General features: G+C 42.9%; 1 protein-coding gene and 1 long non-coding RNA gene across 3 annotated transcripts, besides 20 other annotated features; one reads left to right on the top strand and one right to left on the bottom strand.

Annotated features, from left to right (window-relative positions):
• Positions 2,293-2,450: an enhancer, noted in NCBI's record as "adiponectin distal enhancer". NCBI's record gives its function as "enhancer in adipocyte cells" and the evidence as "EXISTENCE:reporter gene assay evidence [ECO:0000049][PMID:18931025]".
• Positions 2,293-15,333: a biological region, named in NCBI's record as "adiponectin enhancer region". NCBI's record gives its function as "regulatory_interactions: ADIPOQ".
• Positions 2,360-2,366: a protein binding site, noted in NCBI's record as "CCAAT box 1". NCBI's record gives its function as "required for transcriptional activation" and the evidence as "EXISTENCE:protein binding evidence [ECO:0000024][PMID:18931025]".
• Positions 2,433-2,440: a protein binding site, noted in NCBI's record as "CCAAT box 2". NCBI's record gives its function as "required for transcriptional activation" and the evidence as "EXISTENCE:protein binding evidence [ECO:0000024][PMID:18931025]".
• Positions 4,317-5,015: a promoter, noted in NCBI's record as "-676 to +41 nt fragment from PMID:15850785, sufficient for basal transcriptional activity". NCBI's record gives its function as "ADIPOQ, adiponectin, C1Q and collagen domain containing (GeneID:9370) promoter" and the evidence as "EXISTENCE:reporter gene assay evidence [ECO:0000049][PMID:15850785]".
• Positions 4,417-4,444: a transcriptional cis regulatory region, noted in NCBI's record as "distal enhancer response element". NCBI's record gives its function as "needed for full activation by distal enhancer" and the evidence as "EXISTENCE:reporter gene assay evidence [ECO:0000049][PMID:18931025]".
• Positions 4,707-4,718: a protein binding site. NCBI's record gives its function as "PPAR-responsive element (PPRE); required for full adiponectin promoter function" and the evidence as "EXISTENCE:protein binding evidence [ECO:0000024][PMID:12829629]".
• Positions 4,755-4,763: a protein binding site. NCBI's record gives its function as "LRH-responsive element (LRH-RE); required for full adiponectin promoter function" and the evidence as "EXISTENCE:protein binding evidence [ECO:0000024][PMID:12829629]".
• ADIPOQ (adiponectin, C1Q and collagen domain containing) lies at positions 4,993-20,746 on the top strand. 2 transcript variants are annotated; one of them, NM_001177800.2, is made up of 4 exons: positions 4,993-5,032; positions 7,840-7,890; positions 15,334-15,555; positions 16,467-20,746. In NM_001177800.2, exons 3-4 carry the CDS (start codon positions 15,342-15,344, stop codon positions 16,985-16,987), a joined length of 735 nt encoding a protein of 244 aa, NP_001171271.1. In that variant the 5' UTR covers positions 4,993-5,032; positions 7,840-7,890; positions 15,334-15,341; the 3' UTR covers positions 16,988-20,746. The 2 variants fall into 2 exon arrangements, with proteins under 2 accessions (NP_001171271.1, NP_004788.1); NM_004797.4 differs by lacking the exon at positions 7,840-7,890.
• Positions 5,033-15,333: an enhancer, noted in NCBI's record as "adiponectin intronic enhancer". NCBI's record gives its function as "enhancer in adipocyte cells" and the evidence as "EXISTENCE:reporter gene assay evidence [ECO:0000049][PMID:15919796]".
• Positions 8,076-8,096: a protein binding site, noted in NCBI's record as "3062/3082 nt fragment from PMID:15919796". NCBI's record gives the evidence for it as "EXISTENCE:protein binding evidence [ECO:0000024][PMID:15919796]".
• Positions 8,076-8,123: an enhancer, noted in NCBI's record as "core enhancer element". NCBI's record gives its function as "required for full activity of intronic enhancer" and the evidence as "EXISTENCE:reporter gene assay evidence [ECO:0000049][PMID:15919796]".
• Positions 8,090-8,102: a protein binding site, noted in NCBI's record as "3076/3096 nt fragment from PMID:15919796". NCBI's record gives the evidence for it as "EXISTENCE:protein binding evidence [ECO:0000024][PMID:15919796]".
• Positions 8,103-8,123: a protein binding site, noted in NCBI's record as "3089/3109 nt fragment from PMID:15919796". NCBI's record gives the evidence for it as "EXISTENCE:protein binding evidence [ECO:0000024][PMID:15919796]".
• Positions 8,189-11,007: a silencer, noted in NCBI's record as "repressive element; +3175 to +5993 nt fragment from PMID:15919796". NCBI's record gives the evidence for it as "EXISTENCE:reporter gene assay evidence [ECO:0000049][PMID:15919796]".
• Positions 10,924-10,942: a protein binding site, noted in NCBI's record as "5913/5931 nt fragment from PMID:15919796". NCBI's record gives the evidence for it as "EXISTENCE:protein binding evidence [ECO:0000024][PMID:15919796]".
• Positions 11,581-11,599: a protein binding site, noted in NCBI's record as "6570/6588 nt fragment from PMID:15919796". NCBI's record gives the evidence for it as "EXISTENCE:protein binding evidence [ECO:0000024][PMID:15919796]".
• Positions 12,883-12,901: a protein binding site, noted in NCBI's record as "7872/7890 nt fragment from PMID:15919796". NCBI's record gives the evidence for it as "EXISTENCE:protein binding evidence [ECO:0000024][PMID:15919796]".
• Positions 12,933-12,951: a protein binding site, noted in NCBI's record as "7922/7940 nt fragment from PMID:15919796". NCBI's record gives the evidence for it as "EXISTENCE:protein binding evidence [ECO:0000024][PMID:15919796]".
• Positions 14,169-23,651, bottom strand: ADIPOQ-AS1 (ADIPOQ antisense RNA 1). Its single transcript, NR_046662.2, has 4 exons — positions 23,516-23,651; positions 16,416-18,399; positions 16,061-16,155; positions 14,169-15,525 (listed from the first exon to the last, which is right to left on the bottom strand). It is a non-coding gene; the product is annotated as an ADIPOQ antisense RNA 1 (long non-coding RNA).
• Positions 14,946-14,964: a protein binding site, noted in NCBI's record as "9935/9953 nt fragment from PMID:15919796". NCBI's record gives the evidence for it as "EXISTENCE:protein binding evidence [ECO:0000024][PMID:15919796]".
• Positions 23,163-23,457: an enhancer, noted in NCBI's record as "tiled region #6282; HepG2 Activating non-DNase unmatched - State 6:EnhF, and K562 Activating DNase unmatched - State 6:EnhF". NCBI's record gives its function as "activates a minimal TATA promoter and a strong SV40 promoter by Sharpr-MPRA in HepG2 and K562 cells {active_cell/tissue: HepG2 | K562}" and the evidence as "EXISTENCE:reporter gene assay evidence [ECO:0000049][PMID:27701403]".
• Positions 23,652-24,580: the final 929 nt, after the last annotated feature.

The raw sequence follows: 24,580 nt of genomic DNA on the forward strand, positions 1-24,580 counted from the left end.
GCGCAATGGCACAATCTCGGCTCACTACAACCTTTGCCTCCTGGGTTCAAGTGATTCTCCTGCCTCAGCCTCCCAAGTAGCTGGGATTACAAGTGCGTGCCACCACACCTGGCCAATTTTGTATTTTTAGTAGAGATGGGGTTTCACCATGTTGGCCGGGCTGGTCTCCAACTCCTGACCTCAGCTGATCTGCCTGCCTCAGCCTCCCAAAGTGCTGTAATTATAGGCATAAGCCACTGTGCCTGGCCTAGTGTTGTACATTCTGTGGGTTTTGACAATTGTATGCATCTACATGTATGTACCATTATAGTATTCCTGTTTTTAATTTTAGCCATTCTAGTAGGCATGTAGTGATATCTCATGGTGATTTTAATTTGCGTTTCCGTAATGGTTAATAATGCTGAACATCTTTGCATGTGCTTGTTTGTCATTTGTGTTTCCTACTTGGTGAAATAATTGTTCATGTCCTTTGTCCATTTTCTAATTGAATTTTTTTTTACCATTTAGTTTTGAGATTTCTTTATACAATCTAGATCCAAATCTCTTGTCTCAAATATGGTTTGCAAATACATTCCTCTAATTCATATATTGCCTTTTCCTCCTCTTAACAGGATGTTTCACAGAGCAAAAGTTTTAGTTTTGTTGAAATCTCACTTTTCATTTTTTTCTTTAGTGGATTGTGCTTTTGTTGTCATATGTAAGAACTCTTCACTGGCCCTAGATCCTTGTATTGGTTTCCTAAGATTGCCATAGCAAATCACCATGAACTTAGTGACAAAAAGACAGAAATTTATTTTCACTTCCTACTGTGGGCAGACTAGACGTTAATTATTTTCATGTATGCTCATTCCTATGACATCTTTCTGATATAATAATTATAGTTATTCTTAAGCTTCACCCTTTTTTCTATTAGCTTTGTTACCTTGGGTGTCACTTTTTCTTTTTTGACATTGTGACCTATGCCAGATCATGTCTGTTAGTACTTAGCCCTCCATTCACCTCTCCATAATCCCTTTTGTATTCCTGGAGCTTGATGCCTGAAATGACACATCCTACATTCCTTTGCCAGATGGGTACCAGTTAGCTTGTGCACATGGGAGACAACCGTGAAAAGACTGAAGTGGGGAAGAAGGGAGGAGCTGTTGTGTTTCAGTGAGCGCCCTTGGCAGTGGCGGTGACAGTGGCTCCTGTTCAGTGGCAATGGTGGAGCAGCTAGCAAGACATGCAGTAAGCGCAGGCTCATAGGCTATGGTCCAGGAGCAGTCACCGATTCCTGGTCTTTAGGCAATATCATCTCCCTTTGCTTCTCCAGCCTTTCTAAAATTATTGTACCTTGACTAGTACAATTTTTTAGTATTGGGGGTAGTCCAAGGACACAGGCTTTAAAAAGTATGAATTCAGGGTTGCCTACCTGCATTGACTGCGCTTGAATCATGATGGCCTTCTGGTCGGTGGCAGGAGGTGACAGTCCAAATCATGCAGTAGCAAACCAGATACTTAAATTATCATCTGAGATACTTCAGAAGTACAGCCGTAGCCATACCTTCAGAAGAGATAAAGAAATGTTCTCCTGGCCAGGCGCGGTGGCTCACGCCTGTCATTCCAGCACTTTGGGAGGCCGAGGGGGTGGATCACCTGAGGTCGGGAGTTCGAGACCAGCCTGACCAACATGGGGAAACCCTGTCTCTACTAAAAATACAAAATTAGCGGGGCGTGGTGGCACATGCCCATAATCCCAGCTACTCGGGAGGCTAAGGCAGGATAATCGCTTGAACCTGAGAGGCAGAGGTTGCGGTGAACTGAGATCATGCCATAGTACTCCAGCCTGGGCAACAAGAGTGAAACTCCATCTCAAAAAAAAAAAAAAAGAAAAAAAGATAAAGAAATGTTCTCCTTTCTTGCCATTTCTAGGGGTTTGGGGATGGCGTACATTGCTGCAGGGCGTGCTCACTCTACCATCTTGCTCCAATCTTTATTTTTCAAAATACAGTGCTTATGCTTGGTTACTTCAGTTAAGATTATTTTTAAAAATCATAATTAAGCAAAAATATATGGCCATGCTTAAACATATTTAAGATAAATTAAGTGATTTGGCCTGTTTCAGTATCCCAACTCACATGCTAACAGGGGCTTGACCTGTAGCTACGGTACCCTGGAGGAAATGATCGCATTTATTTGGTTATTTCGGTCTAAGTAGTAATAGTTCTGTCCTGGGAAAAAGACTAGCCTCAAGGCATTTCTGATTGAATGTTTTTCAATTACAGTCTTTAAACCAGTATGCCACAGAACTGGCTCTTTCCACATGACGGCCTTTGTGGTGGGTGGCAGATTGCCCTGAGGCCTCGCAAAATGCTAGGCTTTCACAATGTCACTGACTGACAGCCAGGCCCAGCACAGTCTTGGTGTGATTGTGGGGCTAAAGTTATTCCACCTTGTGCAATAGCTACAGCTTTCTCTAACCAGCTGCATTCTTATAAAGTTAGAAGAAAATACTTTTTTTTTTTTGAGATGGATTCTCGCTCTGTTGCCCAGGCTGGAGTGCAATGGTGCGATCTCGGCTCGCTGCAACCTCCGCCTCCTGGGTTCAAACGATTCTCCTCCCTCAGACCCCCGAGTAGCTGGGATTGCAGGTGCCTGCCACCACGCCCGGCTAACTTTTTTGTATTTTTAGTGGAGACGGGGTTTCACCATCTTCGTCAGGCTGGTCTCAGACTCCTGACCTCAAGTGATCTGCCCGCCTCAGCCTCCCAAAATGCTGGGATTACAGGCATGAGCTACTGTGCCCGGCCAAAGAAAATACTTTTTATGCCAGCCCTGAAACTACCCTGAAGCACATACATCAACCTTGAGGCCTCACACTCCATCAAGAGGGGTGAAGGGCATGAGGAATTAGAAAGCATAGGGATTTTTAGTTAGACAGATCTGGTTCAAATCCTAGACTTGTGCCTTGAACAAATTATTTACCCTCATTGAACTCTAGATTCATTATTTGTAAAATGAAAGACAATAATAGTTATCTCCAAAGGAAAGTTGAATATGATCATTCATTTATTCATTAATTCAACATTTATTATTGCCTACTTTGTGCCAGGTTCTATTCTAGGAACTAAGGGATACAACTTTGAATAGGCAAAATCTCTGCTCTCCTGAAGTTTACTTTTTTTTTTTTTTTTGAGACAGAGTTTCACTCTTGTCACCCAGGCTAGAGCGCAATGGTGCTCTTGGCTCACTGCAACCTCCACCTCCTGGGTTCAAGTGATTCTCTTGTCTCAGCCTCCCAAGTAGCTGGGACTACAGGTATGTGCCACCACGCCCGGCTATTTCTGCATTTTTAGTAGAGATGGGGTTTCACCATGTTGGCCAGACTGGTCTCAAACTCCTGATCTCAGGTGATATGCCTGTCTTGGCCTTCCAAAGTACTGGGATTACAGGCCTGAGCCACTGCACCTGACCTGAAGTTTATGTTCTATTAAATAGCAACAGACAGTAACATAAACCAAAAATAAATAGGAAAACACCATAACAAAAATCAAACAGTGATATAATTGAGAGTTGCTTCTATTTCTTTTTGTTGTCTTCTTGGTTCAATCAGCCTGCTAAACTATATGGAACCTCATTTTCATGGGCCACTTATTTAAGCCGGGGGACCTTGGAAAGTCTCTCATGTCTCTCATCTCAACGGCCTAATGTGACTTCTCTTGAAATATTTGGACATTAGCAGGAAGCTGAGGCTTTACATCAGATCTTTACTTTAATGGTGGACTTGACTTTACTGGTAGATTTTTAGGCTCTGTGTGGACTGTGGAGATGATATCTGGGGGGCAGGCAGACACTTGCCCTGCCTCTGTCTGAGAAAATTCTGTTTTGGATGTCTTGTTGAAGTTGGTGCTGGCATCCTAAGCCCTTGCTGGGGTCGTAATTTAATTCATCAGAATGTGTGGCTTGCAAGAACCGGCTCAGATCCTGCCCTTCAAAAACAAAACATGAGCGTGCCAAGAAAGTCCAAGGTGTTGAATGTTGCCACTTCAAGCCTAAACTTTCTAGGAACACCTAAGTGGGTGGCAGCTTCCAGTTCTCCAGGCTGCTTCTAGGCCAGAGCTGGGTTCCACAAGAGACAGAATAGGCATATATATGCTTAAGGAACTGGAAAAACAGGCTCTCTCTCTCTCACAAACACACACACACACATACCAAGGTAGCTGTCAAAATGTTATCCGAAATTTTGGAACCAAAAAATCTTGAAAGATGGTATTCCAATATCACATTTTATGTAAGTTTTCTATTATATTAGATTCAAATTACGATTCGAGGCCACAAGCTTTAAGAATTCAGGGCCTTTTTAACTTGCCAAGCCCCACACCACTCCAGGAACTTCCCCACACCCCAGTTCTCAGAATTCATGTGCAAGGTCTTTCCTAAATCCAGGGTCCAGGTCAGAGAGTGGAGGATGTGCTCTATTTCTTACCTGATTGCAGACCCCTCTGACAGTGCTCCCTTCTGAAGCACTCACTGTCTGAACGTACACAGTCTCAGACTTAATCATGCACAGTGAGCAAGACTGTGGTGTGATAATTGGCGTCCCTGACTTATTAGGGCAAATCTATGGGAGGGGGAGACCTCCTGGACCACTGAGCAATTAATTCATTTACATTAGGAAGTTTCTCCGTCAGATGCAGGAAAAAAATCTTGTTTTCCTGCTGTGGTTTTGACTTTTGCCCCATCTTCTGTTGCTGTTGTAGGAGGCAAAATAAGGGTCAAGGCCTGGAAACACAAGTGCTTTGACTGAAGCTCCACTTGGCTTCCGAAGCCCAAGCTGGGTTGTACCAGGTTCCCTAGGGTGCAGGCTGTGGGCAACTGCCAGGGACATGTGCCTGCCCACCGGCCTCTGGCCCTCACTGAGTTGGCCAATGGGAAATGACAATTGTGAGGTGGGGACTGCCTGCCCCCGTGAGTACCAGGCTGTTGAGGCTGGGCCATCTCCTCCTCACTTCCATTCTGACTGCAGTCTGTGGTTCTGATTCCATACCAGAGGGTAAGAGCAATTCTGTGAAGTTCCAGGCTGGGTGGGGGATGCATGCATAGCCTCTGGCTGGGATCACCCAGGCTCTCCCGTCCGTAGTAGTGTGGGAGTGGATACAGGTGGATACTCTGGTCAGAGCAGCACTGGTGGAGGCAGATATGCACTGGGCTTCTTCCTCCGTTCTCCCACAGCCCCAAGAGAGAAAGGGTTATTTCAGACATTCCTTCTAAGATGCATGGAACCATTCTGAATTTTGCCCAGTTCGCTCTGTAGCAGGATACCTATTGAGAAAAAGTTAGGGTCAGTAAGGTGGAAGGGTCTGTCCACAGATGAAGTCCAATTCGATTAAGGGGGATAAGGGAATACATTGCCTCTTAGCTTGACCAGGTAGGGCAAAGGAAGAAGCATATATGAAGGCAGCTTCAGAAAAGTCAAGCTGAGCACTGACTTCAGACTGGAATTAGGAATCCAGCTCTGCCACTTTATTCTACTCAGCAAATATTTACTGAGCAAATTCTATGGGCTAGACAGTGGATTGGGTTCACAAGATACAATGAGTGTGACATGGTTGTTGTCTATGGATTTGGGGATATATGTAGGTATAGGGATATCTTACAAGGTAATCAAGAGGTTCTAATGAGGCCAGCCATGGTGGCTCACACCTGTAATCCCAGCAATTTGGGAGACCGAGGCGGGTGGATCACCTGAGGTCAGGAGTTCCAGACTAGCCTGACCAACATGGTGAAACCCCGCCTCTACCAAAAATACAAAAATTAGTTGGGCGTGATGGCAGGTGCCTGTAATCCCAGCTTCTCGGGAGGCTGAGGCAGGAGAATTGTCTGAACCTGGGAGGCAGAGGTTGCAGTGAGCCGAGATTGTTGCCACTGCATTCCAGCCTGGGTGACAGAGCGAGACTTTGTGTCAAAAAAAAAAAAAAAAGAAAGAAAAGAAAAAGAGGCTCTAATGAGATAAAATGAGAAAAGCCTGGCATATAGTGGCAACTTATGAAAAATTGTAATTAAAAAAAAACATTTTCTGACAGAAGAAACTGGATCTACCTGGTTTTTCTGAAGCCTAATCCTGCTCGCCCCAGTGAGTGCTGTTTCTGAGGCATCCTGGTTGTTTTGAGCTGTGGATGCTGAAGGTTAGAGTGGGAGGGATTTTAGAGGTTAGGTCTGCCCCTCTTGTGTTAGAGGACATGGATCCCTGGTCTGGAGAGGTTCTGGTTTTTGGATCAAGCCTCACAAGGGGTGGCACCAACTCACTCCTAGGAACTCCGCTAGAAGGAAGGCCAGCTCTGCCTAATTCGGTTGGGGAGATGGGGGTCCCTTTATGCTAGCAGAATATGTCCGAAGGAGCATGATGGTGTCAGCTTTGTTCATGAAGGCCAGTGGTACACAGGGAGCCCGGCAGCTTCCTCAGCAGTCCCTGCTGCCACTCTTCCTTAAGTCTTGAGGAGTCTTTTTTTGGCACAATCTCAGCTCACTGCAACCTCCGCCTCCCAGGTTCAAGCGATTCTCCTGCCTCAGTCTCCCAAGTAGCTGAGACTACAGGCATGCGCCACCACGCCCAGCTAATTTTTATATTTTTAGTAGAGATGGGGTTCACCATATTGGCCAGGATGGTCTCGATCTCTTGACCTCATATTCCACCTGCCTCGGCCTCCCAAAGTGCTGGTATTACAGGTGTGAGCCACTGCGCCTGGCCGAGGAGTCTTAAGCTGAGATCACAGCATTGCACTCCAGCCTGGGCAAAAAAAGCAAAACTCCATCTCAAAAAAAAAAAAAAAAAAATAGACACAAGACTGGCTCCTTGTCTTTTTTGGGGACAGGGTCTCACTCTATCACCCAGGCTGGAGTGCAGTGGTGCAATCACAGCTCACTGCAGCCTCGATTTCCCAGGCTCAAGTGACCCTCCCATCTTAGCCTCCTGAGTAGCTGGGACTACAGGTGTGTGCAACCATGCCTGGCTAATTTTTAAAAATTTTTTGTAGAGATGAGGTCTCACTATATTGGCTGGGGGGCCTCAAACTCCTGGGCTCAGCAGTCCTCCCACCTCAGCCTCCCAAAAGGCTGGGATTATATGCTTGCTCTTTTTAAGGTGGCTGTAGGGACAAACTTTCCACCTACTCCTTGTCAAGCCAGTGGACCGGTGGTCCCAGACATACGGCTAAAGTCAAGAGGTGATGTCTTTTGGAGAGATACTTTCAATCAGGAATTTCAATCAGAAATTCAATCATGTGGAGAGAGACTTATCCTAAAAATGTGGTGGTGCGTGGGATGCTCTGTTTTATTAGTTCCTTGACAGTATGTATGTGTGTGAGTGTGTGTGTGCGCGCGCGCACACTCATTTGGATGGGTGTGTATGTGTGGGGGGGGGTGGTGCGTACGTATGTGGATGTGTGGATGTGGTGTGTGGGTGTGCGCGTGCATAGGTGGAGGTGTGTGTATGGGTGCGGGTATGTGTGTGTGTTGGGCATGGAGATATTGACAGCTCTCCCAGGGCTGAGTGAAGGCTTTCGGGCAAAGCTCCTGGGAGCTAGGCAAAGCTGAGTTGATTCCTGGTTATGCCATTTATTATTGGGTTGCACCGTGTGAAACTGCCAATATTCTACACTTTGACTTTTATTTATTTTTATTTTTATTTTTTTTGAGACAGAGTTTCACACTTGTCACCTAGGCTGGAGTGCAGTGGCGCGATCTCAGCTCACTGCAACCTCTGCCTCATGGATTCAAGTGATTCTCCTGCCTCAGCCTCCCAAGTAGCTGGAATTACAGGTGCCCGCTACCACGCCTGACTAATTTTTGTATTTTTGGTAGAGACGGGATTTCACCATGTTGTCCAGGCTGGTCTGAAACTCCTGACATCAGGTAATCCACCCACCTCAGCCTCCCAAAGTGCTGGGATTACAGGCATGAGCCACTGCGCCCGGCCCATTTTGACTTTTAAAAATGGGAGTTTGATATAATTCAATCCAGTGGTTGAATTAGCTAGCATCGTTCCCTCTCCAAGTCTCAGGTTCTCCTACACGTTAGAGTCAAAAGCAGGGCTATGGGAAGATTAAGTAAAATAAATTTTGAAAATGCCTTATGAAAATTACACTCCAAAGAACTCGCGCCAGTGTCAGTGTTCTCATGTTCCTCATCTCACATGATCACATTTCGCGGATTAGGAAGCTGAGTCTGAGAAGCTCCGTGTAGTGCTTTTTCGGAGGCACCGTGATGTGATGGAAGGCTCACTCGTTAGGAAGTCAGAACAGAGTCTCTGAGGGATCATCTCCTTAATCTGTCAGTTTCCTCATCTCTGAAGTTGGGCTCATTTCCTTCCTTCATGGAGTTATTGTAAAGATGAAGATAAATAACGTGTAAAATCTAGCATGGGAACTGGCTTCTATAAGGTTCTAATAAGTGCATTCCTACTCCTTCCCCTCAGCCTTCCCATTTGTAAAAGCAAGGCAGGGGTGAGGTGATTTCTGGGGCTCCTTTTGGCTCTGACATTTGAGGATTTTGTATACTTTTTTTTTTTTGAGACAGAGTCTTGCTCTGTCACCCAGGTTGGAGTGCAGCTCAATGCAAATTCCGCCTCCCAGGCTCAAGCAATTCTTATGTCTCAGCCTCCTGAGTACCTGGGATTACAGGCAGGCACCACCACCCCCAGCTAATTTTTTTGTATTTTCAGTAGAGACGGGGTTTTGCCATATTGGCCAGGCTGGTCTTGAACTCCTGACTTCATGTGACCCACCCATCTCAGCCTCCCAAAGTGCTGAGATGACAGGTGTGAGCTACCGTGCCTGGCCAATTTTGTGTGCTTTAATGCCCTTTTCTGCTGGAAGAGTTGGCACCAGGTTTGGTGATCTCTTTCCCCCACACGGCTCTGCCTCCTGCCAGTCCCAGAGGGGACCCTGTCCTTGCATTTCACAGGATTCTGCTGTTGCAACTGAAATTCCAGTAGGTCAAAGTGAAATTTCTCATACACTTTAACATGAAGATAAATGATCACAGTATGGCCCTTTAGGATCCTGAGAACATCACGGTCATCCCCTGGTATAATTTTAAAAGCAGATGAATCCATGCCTGTGCGAGGTTTGCCAGGAAAGCCAGTGCTGGGATTACAGTGGAAGTCTTTTTATGCTACTTTTTTCTTGTATCCCTCACCCCATGGGGTGGCATATTGAAAGGCAGGATGTGTGACCACGATACTTTTCTCCTCCTGGACTATGTCTAAGAGTCTGTTATTGGGTTCTGAAGATCAGAGTTTAATTTCCGACTCCTCTCTGTGTAGCTCTGGGATCTTGGAAAGCCACTTAACCTTTCTGAAGTCCCCTTTCCTCATCTCTAAAATGCATACACTCATCACTAACATTTACTGAGCACTGACATGTGCCAGACACCATTCTAAGCATTTTACACAGACTACACCATTTGATCTTCCAACAAACAGAACACTGAAACGCATTACAGGTCAGAACAAATGATTTGTGCCTAAGCACCAAGACCGTAGAGCCCGTGCTCCCTATTCTACCCTATCCTGTCTCTCAAAATGATTGTGAGAATCGAATGAGACACTAGGTGAGAAAAGGGTTTTATAAATAGCATTTTAAAAATTTTTTAAAGTCCACAAAATTTTTAATTTTAATACAGATAAAATAGATCCCTTTGTTTTATAAAAAGTAACAAAATTTGTTATACAACAACTATGTTATTTATTAATTTTGCCTTTTTGTATGCTGCCAGGAAAGAAACATTAAGAAATCTTAAATTGATTATGGTGAATCAGAAGGTCTGCCTGGACTTTTTATTGCTCTAACTGTACAGCTGATCATACTACCTCATTTTTTTTTATGACACTTCAAGGGTGCGCTTAGCTTCATCACTCCTTCGTTGCCAAAAGCTTTGTGACCAAAAACAATTAAGCAGATTCCTGAGTCACTAAATGACACATAACCAGAGTTGAGACTTAGGAACTTTTAGTGCCATGCTAAGCCCACAGGGACACAACAAATAGCATTTTACAAAGGCAAAGAATTGTGACACTTGAGATTTAGCTTGTTGATCCTTGTAAAAGTTTTCTTTTTAGGCATAATTGAGTTTTAGATCATAGTACTCACTATTACTTAGTAATAATTTTTTTCTGATAGAAATACAGTGTAACAGGCCGGGCGCAGTGGCTCATGCCTGTAATCCCAGCACTTTGGGAGGCCGAGGCGGGCGGATCACTTGAGGTCAGGAGTTTGAGACCAGCCCGGCCAACATGGTGAAATCCCATCTCTACTAAAAATACAAAAAATTAGCCAGGTGTGGTCGTGGATTCCTGTGATCCCAGCTACTTGGGAGGGTGAGGCAGGAGCATCAGTTGAACCCAGGAGGCGGAGGTTGCAGTGAGCCAAGATGGTGCCATTGCACTCCAGCCTGGGCCACAAAGCGAGACTCCACTTCAGAAACAAAAAAAAAAGAGAGAGAGAAAAGAAGGAAGGAAGGAAGGAAGGAAGGAAAGAAGGAAGGAAGGAAGGAAAGAAGGAAGGAAGGAAGGAAGGAAAGAAGGAAGGAAGGAAAGAAGGAAGGAAGGAAAGAAGGAAGGAAGGAAGGAAGGGTAACAAGCAAAGTGTAACAATGGCAATATCTAAAAAAATAGGTATTTTTATATGTTTGTCGTTTTATATATATGACCCCCACTTTAGAGATGAGGAAACTGAGAGATTAAGGAAACGATCCCTGAGAGACTCTGTTCTGACTTCCAAATCGGTGAGCTTTCCATCGCATCACGGTGCCTCCGAAAGCATGACACGGAGCTTCTCAGACTCAGCTTCCTAATCCGCTAAACGGGATTATGTGAGATGAGGAACATGAGAACGCTGACATGGGTGAGGGTTCCTTGGAGTATCATTTTCATGTGGCATTTTCAAAACTTATTTTACCTAATCTTCCCAAAGCCCTGCTTTTGACTCTAATGTGTCTCCTGAGACTTGGAGAGCGCAAGATGCTAGCGACAGAGCAAGACTCCATCTCCAGATAAATAAATAAGTAAAATAAAAAAGAACACAAATAATTTTGAAAATTTTTTTGAAAATTAGGCACGTTTGCACTGACCTTCAATTGTTATTAATTGCTGGTTTCCCACCCAGAATTAAGTTGGAATGCAACTTTCTTTTACAATCAGAGTCCGTTCTTGGTCTTGGAAACTTCTGAGGCTCCTGTGCTAATCACACTCTTGTATTTTTGGCACCTCTACCCCGTGCCACTGTCATGGAACCCAGGCTGATCGCACCTATTAGTGGAGAAATCTGTCCATAATACTGAAGTTTGGGGACAAACAGTGTTCCCTTAGGGTAGGAGAAAGAGATCTTTATTTTTGACAAAGGGGGAGGAGCCAGAAAACTCCAGAGACCCCTGAGTTTGCCCTCTCTCCAAGGTTTGGGGTAAGCCCCCCGTCACCCTTTATCTCTGGGGCTTTCACATATTCTGGATTCTCTCCTCCTGTTTCCCAGCAGAAAAGGATGGAGCCTCACAGATTCTTCCCATTTCTGGAGAAAAACATGCATGGAGCTCAAAGTTCTTCTCAGGAGTTTTATTGCCAAAGCCATAATAAGAAAGGGTGGAGGTGACAAGCAGTGAGGAAGTTTAAAGATGCATGAAATCTGTAAAGTCTCAGAACAAGAATTCTCCTAAAATGCAAAAGGGGCTTTGCTGGTCTCCCCTTGGCTTCTCATGTAGCTCACCTCTTTTTTCTTATCTTGAGACTAGTCAAACCTAAGCTGTTTCTCATTTTATTTCCAGAAGCTATTGAGAACACTCTCCTGAATTCTTCAAATTCAGTAGAGGGCGACAAATGTACATATAAATGATGGTAGTGGGTCTTAAATAAAGACTCATGACACCTAAAGGGGCAGCACCTGAGTCTGATTGCACCTGTTTCTGTTGCTGTTTCTGTCTCTCTTCTCTCTGTCTGCCATTTCATTATCAATGGTTACTTTACTTATAAGATCATATTAGAACCTGATATTTGATAAATGATGCATCAGATCTATAGTGAGAGAAAAAATTAATGCAATTAAAGGTGTTGTAACAGCTAGTCTTCAAGTGGGGAGAAATCATTTGAGTACCTTAGGTCACAGCTTACATCAAAACAAAAAATCAGAGCTACATTAAAAAGTGAAATTTTAACTATATCAAACAATAGAAAAAAACAGAAGAAAATTGAATACTTACTAAATCTTAGCATGAATAAGAACTGTTTAACACTTAGAGGCAAGGACTGGGCGTGGTGGCTCATGCTTTTAATCCCAGGACTTTGGGAGCCCAAGGCGGGCGGATCACCTGAGGTCAGGAGTTTGAGACTAGCCTGGCCAACATGGTGAAACCCCGTCTCTACTAAAAAATGCAAAAATTAGCTGCGTGTGGTGGTGCATGCCTGTAATCTCAGCTACTTGGGAGGCTAAGGCATGAGAATCGCTTGAACCTGGGAGGTGGAGGCTGTAGTGAGCCGAGATTGTGCCACTGCACTACAGCCTGGGTGACAGTGTGAAATCCTCTCTCTCAAAAAAAAAAAAAAAAAAAAGCAAACTAGAGCAGTGAGGTACCATTATTTCCTTTGCTCACTAAACTGACAACACACAAATGTTTTTTATAATACCCAAAGCTGATGAGGGTAGTTAAGGTATGCCCTTTTATACACACACTAATGATGTACTACTGGTTGGCAGTATAACATATGCTGCCATGTGGGGATATGTATCAGGAGACTTAAAAATGTGCATACCTTTTGGTCCAGTAATTTACTTCTGGGAATCTGTCATAACAGAATAATAATCTTGGGGAAAGCTACATGCCTAAGGATATTTAAAATATTATTTAAAAATCAAAGTATAATTTCTTACAGAATATAAAATAATATTTTAAAATGAAAATATGCTAAAAGTTTGATGAAATATAAATGGTCAAATATATATTGATTATATCCACTTACTAGACTAGCACTCACTCTGAGACGTTAAAAATAGTCATTATAAAAACTAGAAAATGCCAAAGACAAAATAAAGGAATAAAGTTTTACATAAAGTATGATTCCACTATGTTTAAAAATAAACAGAGACATTCTTGGAGTTGAGTATTGTTTTCTTTTCTGTCATGTCCAAAGAACTATATAACTATTATTTTTAATGAACTATATATGTAATATATACATATAGTTTATATGTATATACAAAATTTATCTCATATATATGATAAAGATGAAAGATGAGTTGGATGTGCCACGTGAAGAGGGTAGTATAGAACCCCAGGTAATGGGGCATAGGAGTGGGATTCCAGATACCAGGCCCATGTTTTTGGGGTGAGATTGCCAATCACGGTCTTTCTTCCATCCCTCACAGAGGAGTAGGTTTGTCTTCAACAAACCTTCAGTTGTCCTGAAGACAAACCTAATTCTGGAGACTTCATATAATCTAGAAGAGACAAGCAAACTGATGAAAAATAGTGAATTTTTAAGGTAAAATAAAGTACATGGACTACACTTTGTTTAGAATCAGATTCTTGGGATTAACCACATTAACCCACAGAGGGTCTTAGTGATGCCTCTAATCCAGGATCCTAGGACCTATTTCTCTCTGTGAGATGCTTTCTCCCAACTCCTTGGTGAGAGTGGGAAGACTAAGACCTCAGCAATCTGAGGTGGAGGCCTAAGATCCCCCTAAGATCGGAGGCAGAATCTGAGAGGGGATAAAAGTCCCTATACCTGTATTGGGCCCTTTTCTGGGAGGGGGATATCAAAGAATGATTTTGAGACAGGGAGGCTTTTGACTACCTGTGCCACTTGAGCTCTTTGCTAGGGCTCCAGAATACATATTTCAAATACATTCCCCCTCCCTCCTTCCTTCCCTCTTCCACTCTTCCTTTTTATCTTCCTTTCTTCTTTTCCTTCCTCCTTCCCTTCCTTTCTCTGGCTCTCTCATGATTTCTTTTCCTCATTATAAAAGTGCTTATTTAGTCCCTACTCTGCTATTAGTGTGTTAGTCTTTGTCCCCTGGTACTTGCTGTTTAATGGAGAAATGGGTGAGCAAAACAGAAATTACAGCAGAGTGCAATGATAGAGCTAAGCCAGGTGTATAAATCCATTCTCACACTGCTGTAAAAAACTACTTGAGACTGGGTAATTTATAAAGAAAAGAGGTTTAATTGACTCACAGTTCCACAGGCTGTACAGGAAGCATGGCTGGGGAGGCCTCAGAAAACTTACAATCATGGTGGAAGAAAGAGCGAAGGGGAAGCAAGCACATCACACAGCAGCAGGAGAGAGAGAGAGAAAGAGAGAGAGAGAGAATATAGGGGAAGTGCTACACACTTTCAACCAGATCTTGTGAGAATTCACCTACTATCATGAGAACAGCAAGGGATAAGTCTGCCTCCATGATTCAGTCACCTCCTACCAGGCCCCTTCTCCAACACATGTCGACGTGCTATTTGGGTGGGGACACAGACCCAAACCATATTACCAGGGCACTGGAGAAACACAGAGGGGAAAGAACCAGCCAAGGAGTGAGATGGAGAACAAGGAGGACTTCTTGAAACAGATGACATCCAAACTGGGTCCTGAAAGCTGAATAGAGATTAGACAGGGGAGGAGGGGCAGCTAAAGATGGCTCAGGCAAACAAAGGGCCAGGGGATATGTTCATGGGATGATGTGTCTCTCGTTGTCTGCTTAACACAAGGTGAGTCTCTCCCTCCCTCTCTCTCTCTTTTTCTCTGTGTGTGTTTGTGTGTGTGCATGTGTGCAAATGTAATATACCCAATAGTCAAACATGTGCCCCAGGAGAGGGGTAGAGGAAGAAAGAGAATGAGAGAGTAAGAAGGAGGAATAGACACAGAAAATGAGAGAGAAGGGGGGAAAGAAAAAGAAGAAAGGAGCCAGAGGAGAGAAGCTGGTTAGCATTGAATGGAGCAATCTGTGTCATCGTACTTGGGAAACCCAAGGATGGATTCTTGGCAAGTCGACTCTTGGAGCTTTCCCTGTGCTTGGTCCTGTGCTCAGACATGGGAAAATTAGAGGAGTGTCATCTGTGCAATCACTGAATTCATAATCTTGGTGAGGAAAGGAGACTACACACAGGGAATAATGCTAAGTATTACAGATTTCAGGGCAGAAAGAGATCAAGGTGGGCTGCAATATTCAGAAAAGTCTTCCTGGAAAAGTTGAATACTTAGAAAGCAGCTCCTAGAAGTAGACTCTGCTGAGATGGACGGAGTCCTTTGTAGGTCCCAACTGGGTGTGTGTGTGGGGTCTGTCTCTCCATGGCTGACAGTGCACATGTGGATTCCAGGGCTCAGGATGCTGTTGCTGGGAGCTGTTCTACTGCTATTAGCTCTGCCCGGTCATGACCAGGAAACCACGACTCAAGGGCCCGGAGTCCTGCTTCCCCTGCCCAAGGGGGCCTGCACAGGTTGGATGGCGGGCATCCCAGGGCATCCGGGCCATAATGGGGCCCCAGGCCGTGATGGCAGAGATGGCACCCCTGGTGAGAAGGGTGAGAAAGGAGATCCAGGTAAGAATGTTTCTGGCCTCTTTCATCACAGACCTCCTACACTGATATAAACTATATGAAGGCATTCATTATTAACTAAGGCCTAGACACAGGGAGAAAGCAAAGCTTTTTTATGTTAACCATAAGCAACCTGAAGTGATTTGGGGTTGGTCTTCCAAGGATGAGTGTAGATGGTGCCTCTATAACCAAGACTTTGGCTTTGCTGCATCTGCAGCTCCTTTTCCATCCCCTTTCCCATCTTCACCCTCATCCCTATTCCCAGTACATTCATATTCTGATTCCTCTTTCTGTCTGCTTAACTTCCATTTCACCCAGTGGCATTCAACCACATTTACTGCACACCCCCTGAAAGGCTCAGTCCTGCCTTTGGGGAACTCTTGATCTAGGTAAGATGTCTAATGTGCAAGGCTCTGTTGGTGGTTACTACAAGAAAGTCTACTCTAAAAATGTCAAACTGAATGTGAACAAGTATTCAAAGTATGGAGCATAGAGAAAATATACTCACCGTGGACCTGATGAAGAATGAAGGCTTCAAGGAGGAGGCAGAGCTTCAGCTAGGCCTTGAATGATGGGTAGGCAGAATAGAGGAGGAGAGACATCCTAGATGGAGGGGGTAGAATTGCAAAACCAGGGTTGATGGTGCCAGCACATAAAGGGCTGGCAGGGTGGAGGGTCTATGATAGAGACCTATAGGAGATAAAGATAGAGTTGAAATTATGGGAGCCTCCATGTCTGTGGGAGATATAGAAGGAGGAGGTAACACCTCTCTCCTTTTGGGAGCTCTTATTGGTTTCTTGATCTATAAGTCAAGAAGGTTGTGAGTGGGAGCCACAGGGATGGTAATTTAGGCTGTAACCAACCTAGGCAGGAGTTCTGTTCTTTGTAGTCACTGAGGTCTTCTCATTCCTTAGGTCTTATTGGTCCTAAGGGAGACATCGGTGAAACCGGAGTACCCGGGGCTGAAGGTCCCCGAGGCTTTCCGGGAATCCAAGGCAGGAAAGGAGAACCTGGAGAAGGTGCCTATGTATACCGCTCAGCATTCAGTGTGGGATTGGAGACTTACGTTACTATCCCCAACATGCCCATTCGCTTTACCAAGATCTTCTACAATCAGCAAAACCACTATGATGGCTCCACTGGTAAATTCCACTGCAACATTCCTGGGCTGTACTACTTTGCCTACCACATCACAGTCTATATGAAGGATGTGAAGGTCAGCCTCTTCAAGAAGGACAAGGCTATGCTCTTCACCTATGATCAGTACCAGGAAAATAATGTGGACCAGGCCTCCGGCTCTGTGCTCCTGCATCTGGAGGTGGGCGACCAAGTCTGGCTCCAGGTGTATGGGGAAGGAGAGCGTAATGGACTCTATGCTGATAATGACAATGACTCCACCTTCACAGGCTTTCTTCTCTACCATGACACCAACTGATCACCACTAACTCAGAGCCTCCTCCAGGCCAAACAGCCCCAAAGTCAATTAAAGGCTTTCAGTACGGTTAGGAAGTTGATTATTATTTAGTTGGAGGCCTTTAGATATTATTCATTCATTTACTCATTCATTTATTCATTCATTCATCGAGTAACTTTAAAAAAATCATATGCTATGTTCCCAGTCCTGGGGAGCTTCACAAACATGACCAGATAACTGACTAGAAAGAAGTAGTTGACAGTGCTATTTTGTGCCCACTGTCTCTCCTGATGCTCATATCAATCCTATAAGGCACAGGGAACAAGCATTCTCCTGTTTTTACAGATTGTATCCTGAGGCTGAGAGAGTTAAGTGAATGTCTAAGGTCACACAGTATTAAGTGACAGTGCTAGAAATCAAACCCAGAGCTGTGGACTTTGTTCACTAGACTGTGCCCTTTTATAGAGGTACATGTTCTCTTTGGAGTGTTGGTAGGTGTCTGTTTCCCACCTCACCTGAGAGCCATTGAATTTGCCTTCCTCATGAATTAAAACCTCCCCCAAGCAGAGCTTCCTCAGAGAAAGTGGTTCTATGATGACGTCCTGTCTTGGAAGGACTACTACTCAATGGCCCCTGCACTACTCTACTTCCTCTTACCTATGTCCCTTCTCATGCCTTTCCCTCCAACGGGGAAAGCCAACTCCATCTCTAAGTGCCGAACTCATCCCTGTTCCTCAAGGCCACCTGGCCAGGAGCTTCTCTGATGTGATATCCACTTTTTTTTTTTTTGAGATGGAGTCTCACTCTGTCACCCAGGCTGGAGTACAGTGACACGACCTCGGCTCACTGCAGCCTCCTTCTCCTGGGTCCAAGCAATTATTGTGCCTCAGCCTCCCGAGTAGCTGAGACTTCAGGTGCATTCCACCACACATGGCTAATTTTTGTATTTTTAGTAGAAATGGGGTTTCGTCATGTTGGCCAGGCTGGTCTCGAACTCCTGGCCTAGGTGATCCACCCGCCTCGACCTCCCAAAGTGCTGGGATTACAGGCATGAGCCACCATGCCCAGTCGATATCTCACTTTTTATTTTGCCATGGATGAGAGTCCTGGGTGTGAGGAACACCTCCCACCAGGCTAGAGGCAACTGCCCAGGAAGGACTGTGCTTCCGTCACCTCTAAATCCCTTGCAGATCCTTGATAAATGCCTCATGAAGACCAATCTCTTGAATCCCATATCTACCCAGAATTAACTCCATTCCAGTCTCTGCATGTAATCAGTTTTATCCACAGAAACATTTTCATTTTAGGAAATCCCTGGTTTTAAGTATCAATCCTTGTTCAGCTGGACAATATGAATCTTTTCCACTGAAGTTAGGGATGACTGTGATTTTCAGAACACGTCCAGAATTTTTCATCAAGAAGGTAGCTTGAGCCTGAAATGCAAAACCCATGGAGGAATTCTGAAGCCATTGTCTCCTTGAGTACCAACAGGGTCAGGGAAGACTGGGCCTCCTGAATTTATTATTGTTCTTTAAGAATTACAGGTTGAGGTAGTTGATGGTGGTAAACATTCTCTCAGGAGACAATAACTCCAGTGATGTTCTTCAAAGATTTTAGCAAAAACAGAGTAAATAGCATTCTCTATCAATATATAAATTTAAAAAACTATCTTTTTGCTTACAGTTTTAAATTCTGAACAATTCTCTCTTATATGTGTATTGCTAATCATTAAGGTATTATTTTTTCCACATATAAAGCTTTGTCTTTTTGTTGTTGTTGTTGTTTTTAAGATGGAGTTTCCCTCTGTTGCCAGGCTAGAGTGCAGTGGCATGATCTCGGCTTACTGCAACCTTTGCCTCCCAGGTTCAAGCGATTCTTCTGCCTCAGCCTCCCGAGTAGCTGGGACCACAGGTGCCTACCACCATGCCAGGCTAATTTTTGTATTTTTAGTAAAGACAGGGTTTCACCATATTGGCCAGGCTGGTCTCGAACTCCTGACCTTGTGATCTGCCCGCCTCCATTTTTGTTGTTATTTTTTGAGAAAGATAGATATGAGGTTTAGAGAGGGATGAAGAGGTGAGAGTAAGCCTTGTGTTAGTCAGAACTCTGTGTTGTGAATGTCATTCACAACAGAAAACCCAAAATATTATGCAAACTACTGTAAGCAAGAAAAATAAAGGAAAAATGGAAACATTTATTCCTTTGCATAATAGAAATTACCAGAGTTGTTCTGTCTTTAGATAAGGTTTGAACCAAAGCTCAAAACAATCAAGACCCTTTTCTGTATGTCCTTCTGTTCTGCCTTCCGCAGTGTAGGCTTTACCCTCAGGTGCTACACAGTATAGTTCTAGGGTTTCCCTCCCGATATCAAAAAGACTGTGGCCTGCCCAGCTCTCGTATCCCCAAGCCACACCATCTGGCTAAATGGACATCATGTTTTCTGGTGATGCCCAAAGAGGAGAGAGGAAGCTCTCTTTCCCAGATGCCCCAGCAAGTGTAACCTTGCATCTCATTGCTCTGGCTGAGTTGTGTGCCTGTTTCTGACCAATCACTGAGTCAGGAGGATGAAATATTCATATTGACTTAATTGCAGCTTAAGTTAGGGGTATGTAGAGGTATTTTCCCTAAAGCAAAATTGGGACACTGTTATCAGAAATAGGAGAGTGGATGATAGATGCAAAATAATACCTGTCCACAACAAACTCTTAATGCTGTGTTTGAGCTTTCATGAGTTTCCCAGAGAGACATAGCTGGAAAATTCCTATTGATTTTCTCTAAAATTTCAACAAGTAGCTAAAGTCTGGCTATGCTCACAGTCTCACATCTGGTTGGGGTGGGCTCCTTACAGAACACGCTTTCACAGTTACCCTAAACTCTCTGGGGCAGGGTTATTCCTTTGTGGAACCAGAGGCACAGAGAGAGTCAACTGAGGCCAAAAGAGGCCTGAGAGAAACTGAGGTCAAGATTTCAGGATTAATGGTCCTGTGATGCTTTGAAGTACAATTGTGGATTTGTCCAATTCTCTTTAGTTCTGTCAGCTTTTGCTTCATATATTTTAGCGCTCTATTATTAGATATATACATGTTTAGTATTATGTCTTATTGGTGCATTTACTCTCTTATCATTATGTAATGTCCTTCTTTATCTGTGATAATTTTCTGTGTTCTGAAGTCTACTTTGTCTAAAAATAACATACGCACTCAACTTCCTTTTCTTTCTTCCTTCCTTTCTTTCTTCCTTCCTTTCTTTCTCTCTCTCTCTCTTTCCTTCCTTCCTTCCTCCTTTTCTTTCTCTCTCTCTCTCTCTCTCTTTTTTTGACAGACTCTCGTTCTGTGGCCCTGGCTGGAGTTCAGTGGTGTGATCTTGGCTCACTGCTACCTCTACCATGAGCAATTCTCCTGCCTCAGCCTCCCAAGTAGCTGGAACTACAGGCTCATGCCACTGCGCCCAGCTAATTTTTGTATTTTTCGTAGAGACGGGGTTTCACCACATTCGTCAGGTTGGTTTCAAACTCCTGACTTTGTGATCCACCCGCCTCGGCCTCCCAAAGTGCTGGGATTACAGGCATGAGCCATCACACCTGGTCAACTTTCTTTTGATTAGTGTTTTTGTGGTATATCTTTTTCCATCATGTTACTTTAAATATATCTATATTATTGTATTTAAAATGTGTTTCTTACAGACTGCATGTAGTTGGGTATAATTTTTATCCAGTCTAAAAATATCTGTCTTTTAATTGGTGTTTAGACAATTTATATTTAATAAAATTGTTGAATTTAAGATGGATGACTGTTTTATTTGTTTGCTGTTCACCACTTCTGTTTTATTCTCTTTCCAGAATTCTTTTGGATTGTTTAAATATTTCATAATATTTTATCTTAATTTATTTATTGGGTATTTGCCTATATCTCTTTGTGGTATTTTTTAGTGGTTGCTTGAGGGATTACAATGTACTTAACTTTTCACAGTGTGCATAAAGTTAATATTTTGCCACTTGCAGTAAACCGTAGAAGGCTTATAATCATATTAGTACCTCTATCCACTTTCTTTTATGTTGTAGTTGTCATATATATTACATCTATATACACTGAAACATTATAGGCAATGTTATGATTTTTGCATTCGTCAGTCATATATATATTTTAAAGAATTTAAGAGGAGAAAAATACATATTCAGATATTCATCATTTCCTTTGTTCTTTATTAATTTCTAATGTTCTGTGTTTCTCTCTGGTGTAATTTCTCCTCAACCTGAAAAACTTTATTGAGCATTTATTTTAAAGCAAGTCTGTTGATGATGAATTCTCTTAGTTTTTCTTCATCTGAGAATGCCTTCATCTTTTCTACATTCCTGAAATATATTTTTACTGGATATAGAATTCTCAGTTGACAGTTCTTTCTTCTAGCATTTTATTTTATTTAGTTTATTTTTTTCAGTGCATTAAAGATGTTTCTGTCTTCTGGGACCCATGGTGTGTGTGTATATATATATATATTTTTTTTTCTCTTTATCTCAAAGGCTCTATGGTTTCAGATGAGAAACCTGCAGTCATAGTTTTCCCTTATGTGTAATTTATAATTTTTTCTTCCAGCTGCTTTCAAGATGCTTTCTTTACCTCTGATTTTCAATAGTTTGATTATGATGTGTCTGGGTGTTTTCAACTTTCACCCATTTTAGGGTTCATTAAACTTCTTGAATCTATAAATATAGGTCTTTCAGCAAATTTAGGACATTTTCTGCAGACATTTTTTATTTTTATTTTTGAGATTTGAGTGTTGCTATGTTGCCCAGGCTGGTCTCAAACTTCTGGGCTCAAGTAATCCTCCTGCCTTGGCTTCCCAAAGTGCTGAGATTATAGGTCTGAGCCACTGGATTTTCTCACCCTCAGAACTGTGAGCCAACAAATTTCTGTTCTTTATAAATTGCCCAGTCTGTGGTATTCTGCTATAGCAGCACAAAATGGGCTAAGATACTGGGCCGACCAGATTCCTCCAGGAATACGAATTAGGATGGATGTAAAACATGCAGATTCAGGACTCATGGGTCCTTCTGCCCTGCAGTGTAGAACAAGAAGAGGCCCAGCTGTGAGAAAGGTAGAGGCTTTGAGAGAAACAGAATTGAAAGTCAGAGAGAGAGAGAGAGAGAGAGAGATCTTGGATGCTTTCTACTTTTTGGTTCAGTCCTTCCTGAGATTTAACTATATCCCAACCCACGGGGGCCGTAAGACACCAGTTCCTGTATTTTTATGCCATCTCTCCTTTTAATGTGAGTTAGCTTGTATTTATTTTATGTACATCTAGAAAGTACACAGGGGGCTGAGCGCAGTGGCTCATGCCTGTAATCCCAGCACTTTGGGAGACCAAGGTGGGCAGATCACTTGAGGTCAGGAGTTCGAGACCTGCCTGACCAACATGGTGAAACTAAAAATACAAAAATCAGCTGGTTGTGGTGGCGTGCACCTGTAATCCCAGCTACTTGAGAGGCTGAGGCAGGAGAATCACTTGACCTGGGAGACAGAAGTTGCAGTGAGCCAAGATAGTGCCACTGCACTTCGGCCTGGGCAACAGAGAAAGACTCTGCCTCAAAAAAACAAGTAAATAAAAATAAAAAGTACACAGGGTTGGAAATTAAACTGTGACTGTGCCCAGGCACCAAGCTCAGGCTCAGTTAGGAAGAAAACTTGGCAACAGGATAATAGAGTCAAGTCATTAGGCACCCATAAGATTACACCTAAAACCCTAGCTTCACTTACATGTATTTTATTAGCAATTAACCTCCTAGCTTAGAAATCCCTTGTGGACAGAGACTTTGTATTTCATCTTTGAATTCTTTACAAAGATCATTGATTTATTCAGTAAATATTTATTGTCTATTTTATACTGGGTACATCATAATCTTAAAAATAGAAATAATAATATAATTATCATTTTGAAGTAGCTGCTTGAAATACATTATTTTATTTACTCTTTACAACATCTTGTACATTAAATATCATTGACCCCATTGTTAGATAAGAAAACTGAAGCTTAGAGAAGATAATTAACTGGCTCAAAGCTGCAGCTAGTAAATTGTAGAGCAAAGATTCATAGCCAGAGCTGCCTGATACCAAAAGCTATGCTGTTATGAAAAATAAACCCCAATTTCATTGGACTTTTTTTCTTTATAGTTTCAAGACATTGGGGGATAGAGTTATACAACCTGTAGCCTTAATGTTAGCAATCCTGTAAATACCGGTAATGGAAGAACTTGCCTTTGTAAAATGAGTCATTCAATTTGTTATGTGGCAGAAAGTCCGGTTGTTTAAAGAAAATATGATGAAATGTCTCACTCATCTTTCACGTGGGCAAGTTCTGAGGACTGCACTGAGGTTCTTTGTAGTGTGGTGCTAGAAAATAAGGGCCTTCCAAAATAGTTTGTTCATGCCAGCTGAAATAGCTTAAGTCAATGCTCAACCTTTCTTTATCTAAAAAATTCTATAACTTAAGGCCAGGCACGGTGGCTCATGCCTGTAATCCCAGCACTTTGGGAGGCCGAGGCCAATGGATTACCTGAGATCAGGAGTTTGAGACCAGCCTGGGCAACATGGTGAAATCCCGTCTCTACTAAAAACACAAAAACTAGCCGGGCATGGTGGCTGGCGCCTGTAATCCCAGCTACTCAGGAGGCTGAGGCAGGAGAATCACTGGAACCTGGGAGGCGGAGGTTGCCGTGAGACAAGATAGTGCCATTGTACTCCAGCCTGGGCAACAGAGTGAGACTCCATCTCAAAACAAAACAAAACAAAACAAACAAAAAAAACTATAACTTAAAGATAGAATGTTATTTCCCTGGTATGATAAAGAATAACAAATTGTAAATAATATCCAACATTATAATTAATAGCAAAACACTAAATAAATCCCCATTAAAATTGGTACAAAACAAGGGTGCTTGCTTTCACCATTCTAACTTTAACAATGTTCTGGGAAATTCCGTTGATTTGTCCTCTTATCTTTGAACTTCCTCTTGTTTTATTTTATTCATGTTCTTATCACAGTCTTCCAAAAACAGGAATTCATGGAGAGTTTTGTGGGTTTTTCTAAATTTTGGTATATATATACATATATATAGCAAATATAGATAATGTATGTATAGCAAATATATTTATATATATATATATATATTACATATATATATATTTCCCAGACTGGGTTCTTGGCATGTTGTTCATTTCTTTTTTTTGTTGCTTTTCTGTAGTATACCTGGCTGATCCAGCTTGCTTGTGTTGAACGTGGGTCTTTCTAGACTTTGTTTGCTCTGATACAGTGAGCATGACTGCCATCTCTGATACTTGCATGTCTCACCTCCCAGCCACAGAGCAAGAGCTGAAATCTCATTTTCTTTCCACTTTTCTGAGACGGAGGGAAGAGAGAATAGAAGCAGACTCTGGGGATTGTGCAGCCTTTGTTGGGTAACCTGGCTTTTACTCTCTCTTCTAAAATGCTGTTAAATGTTTGGTACCACAAATTAACCCATCTCGTTGGCCATGCATCCTATTCCCATGGTGGAATACCTCTAGGTCCACAGGTTCCTAGTAACCCCTAGGAACCATCAGCTCTTCCACAGAGATCTTG

This window comes from Homo sapiens, chromosome 3 (assembly GCF_000001405.40).
Source record: "Homo sapiens chromosome 3, GRCh38.p14 Primary Assembly".
NCBI classification, from domain to species: Eukaryota; Metazoa; Chordata; class Mammalia; order Primates; family Hominidae; genus Homo; species Homo sapiens.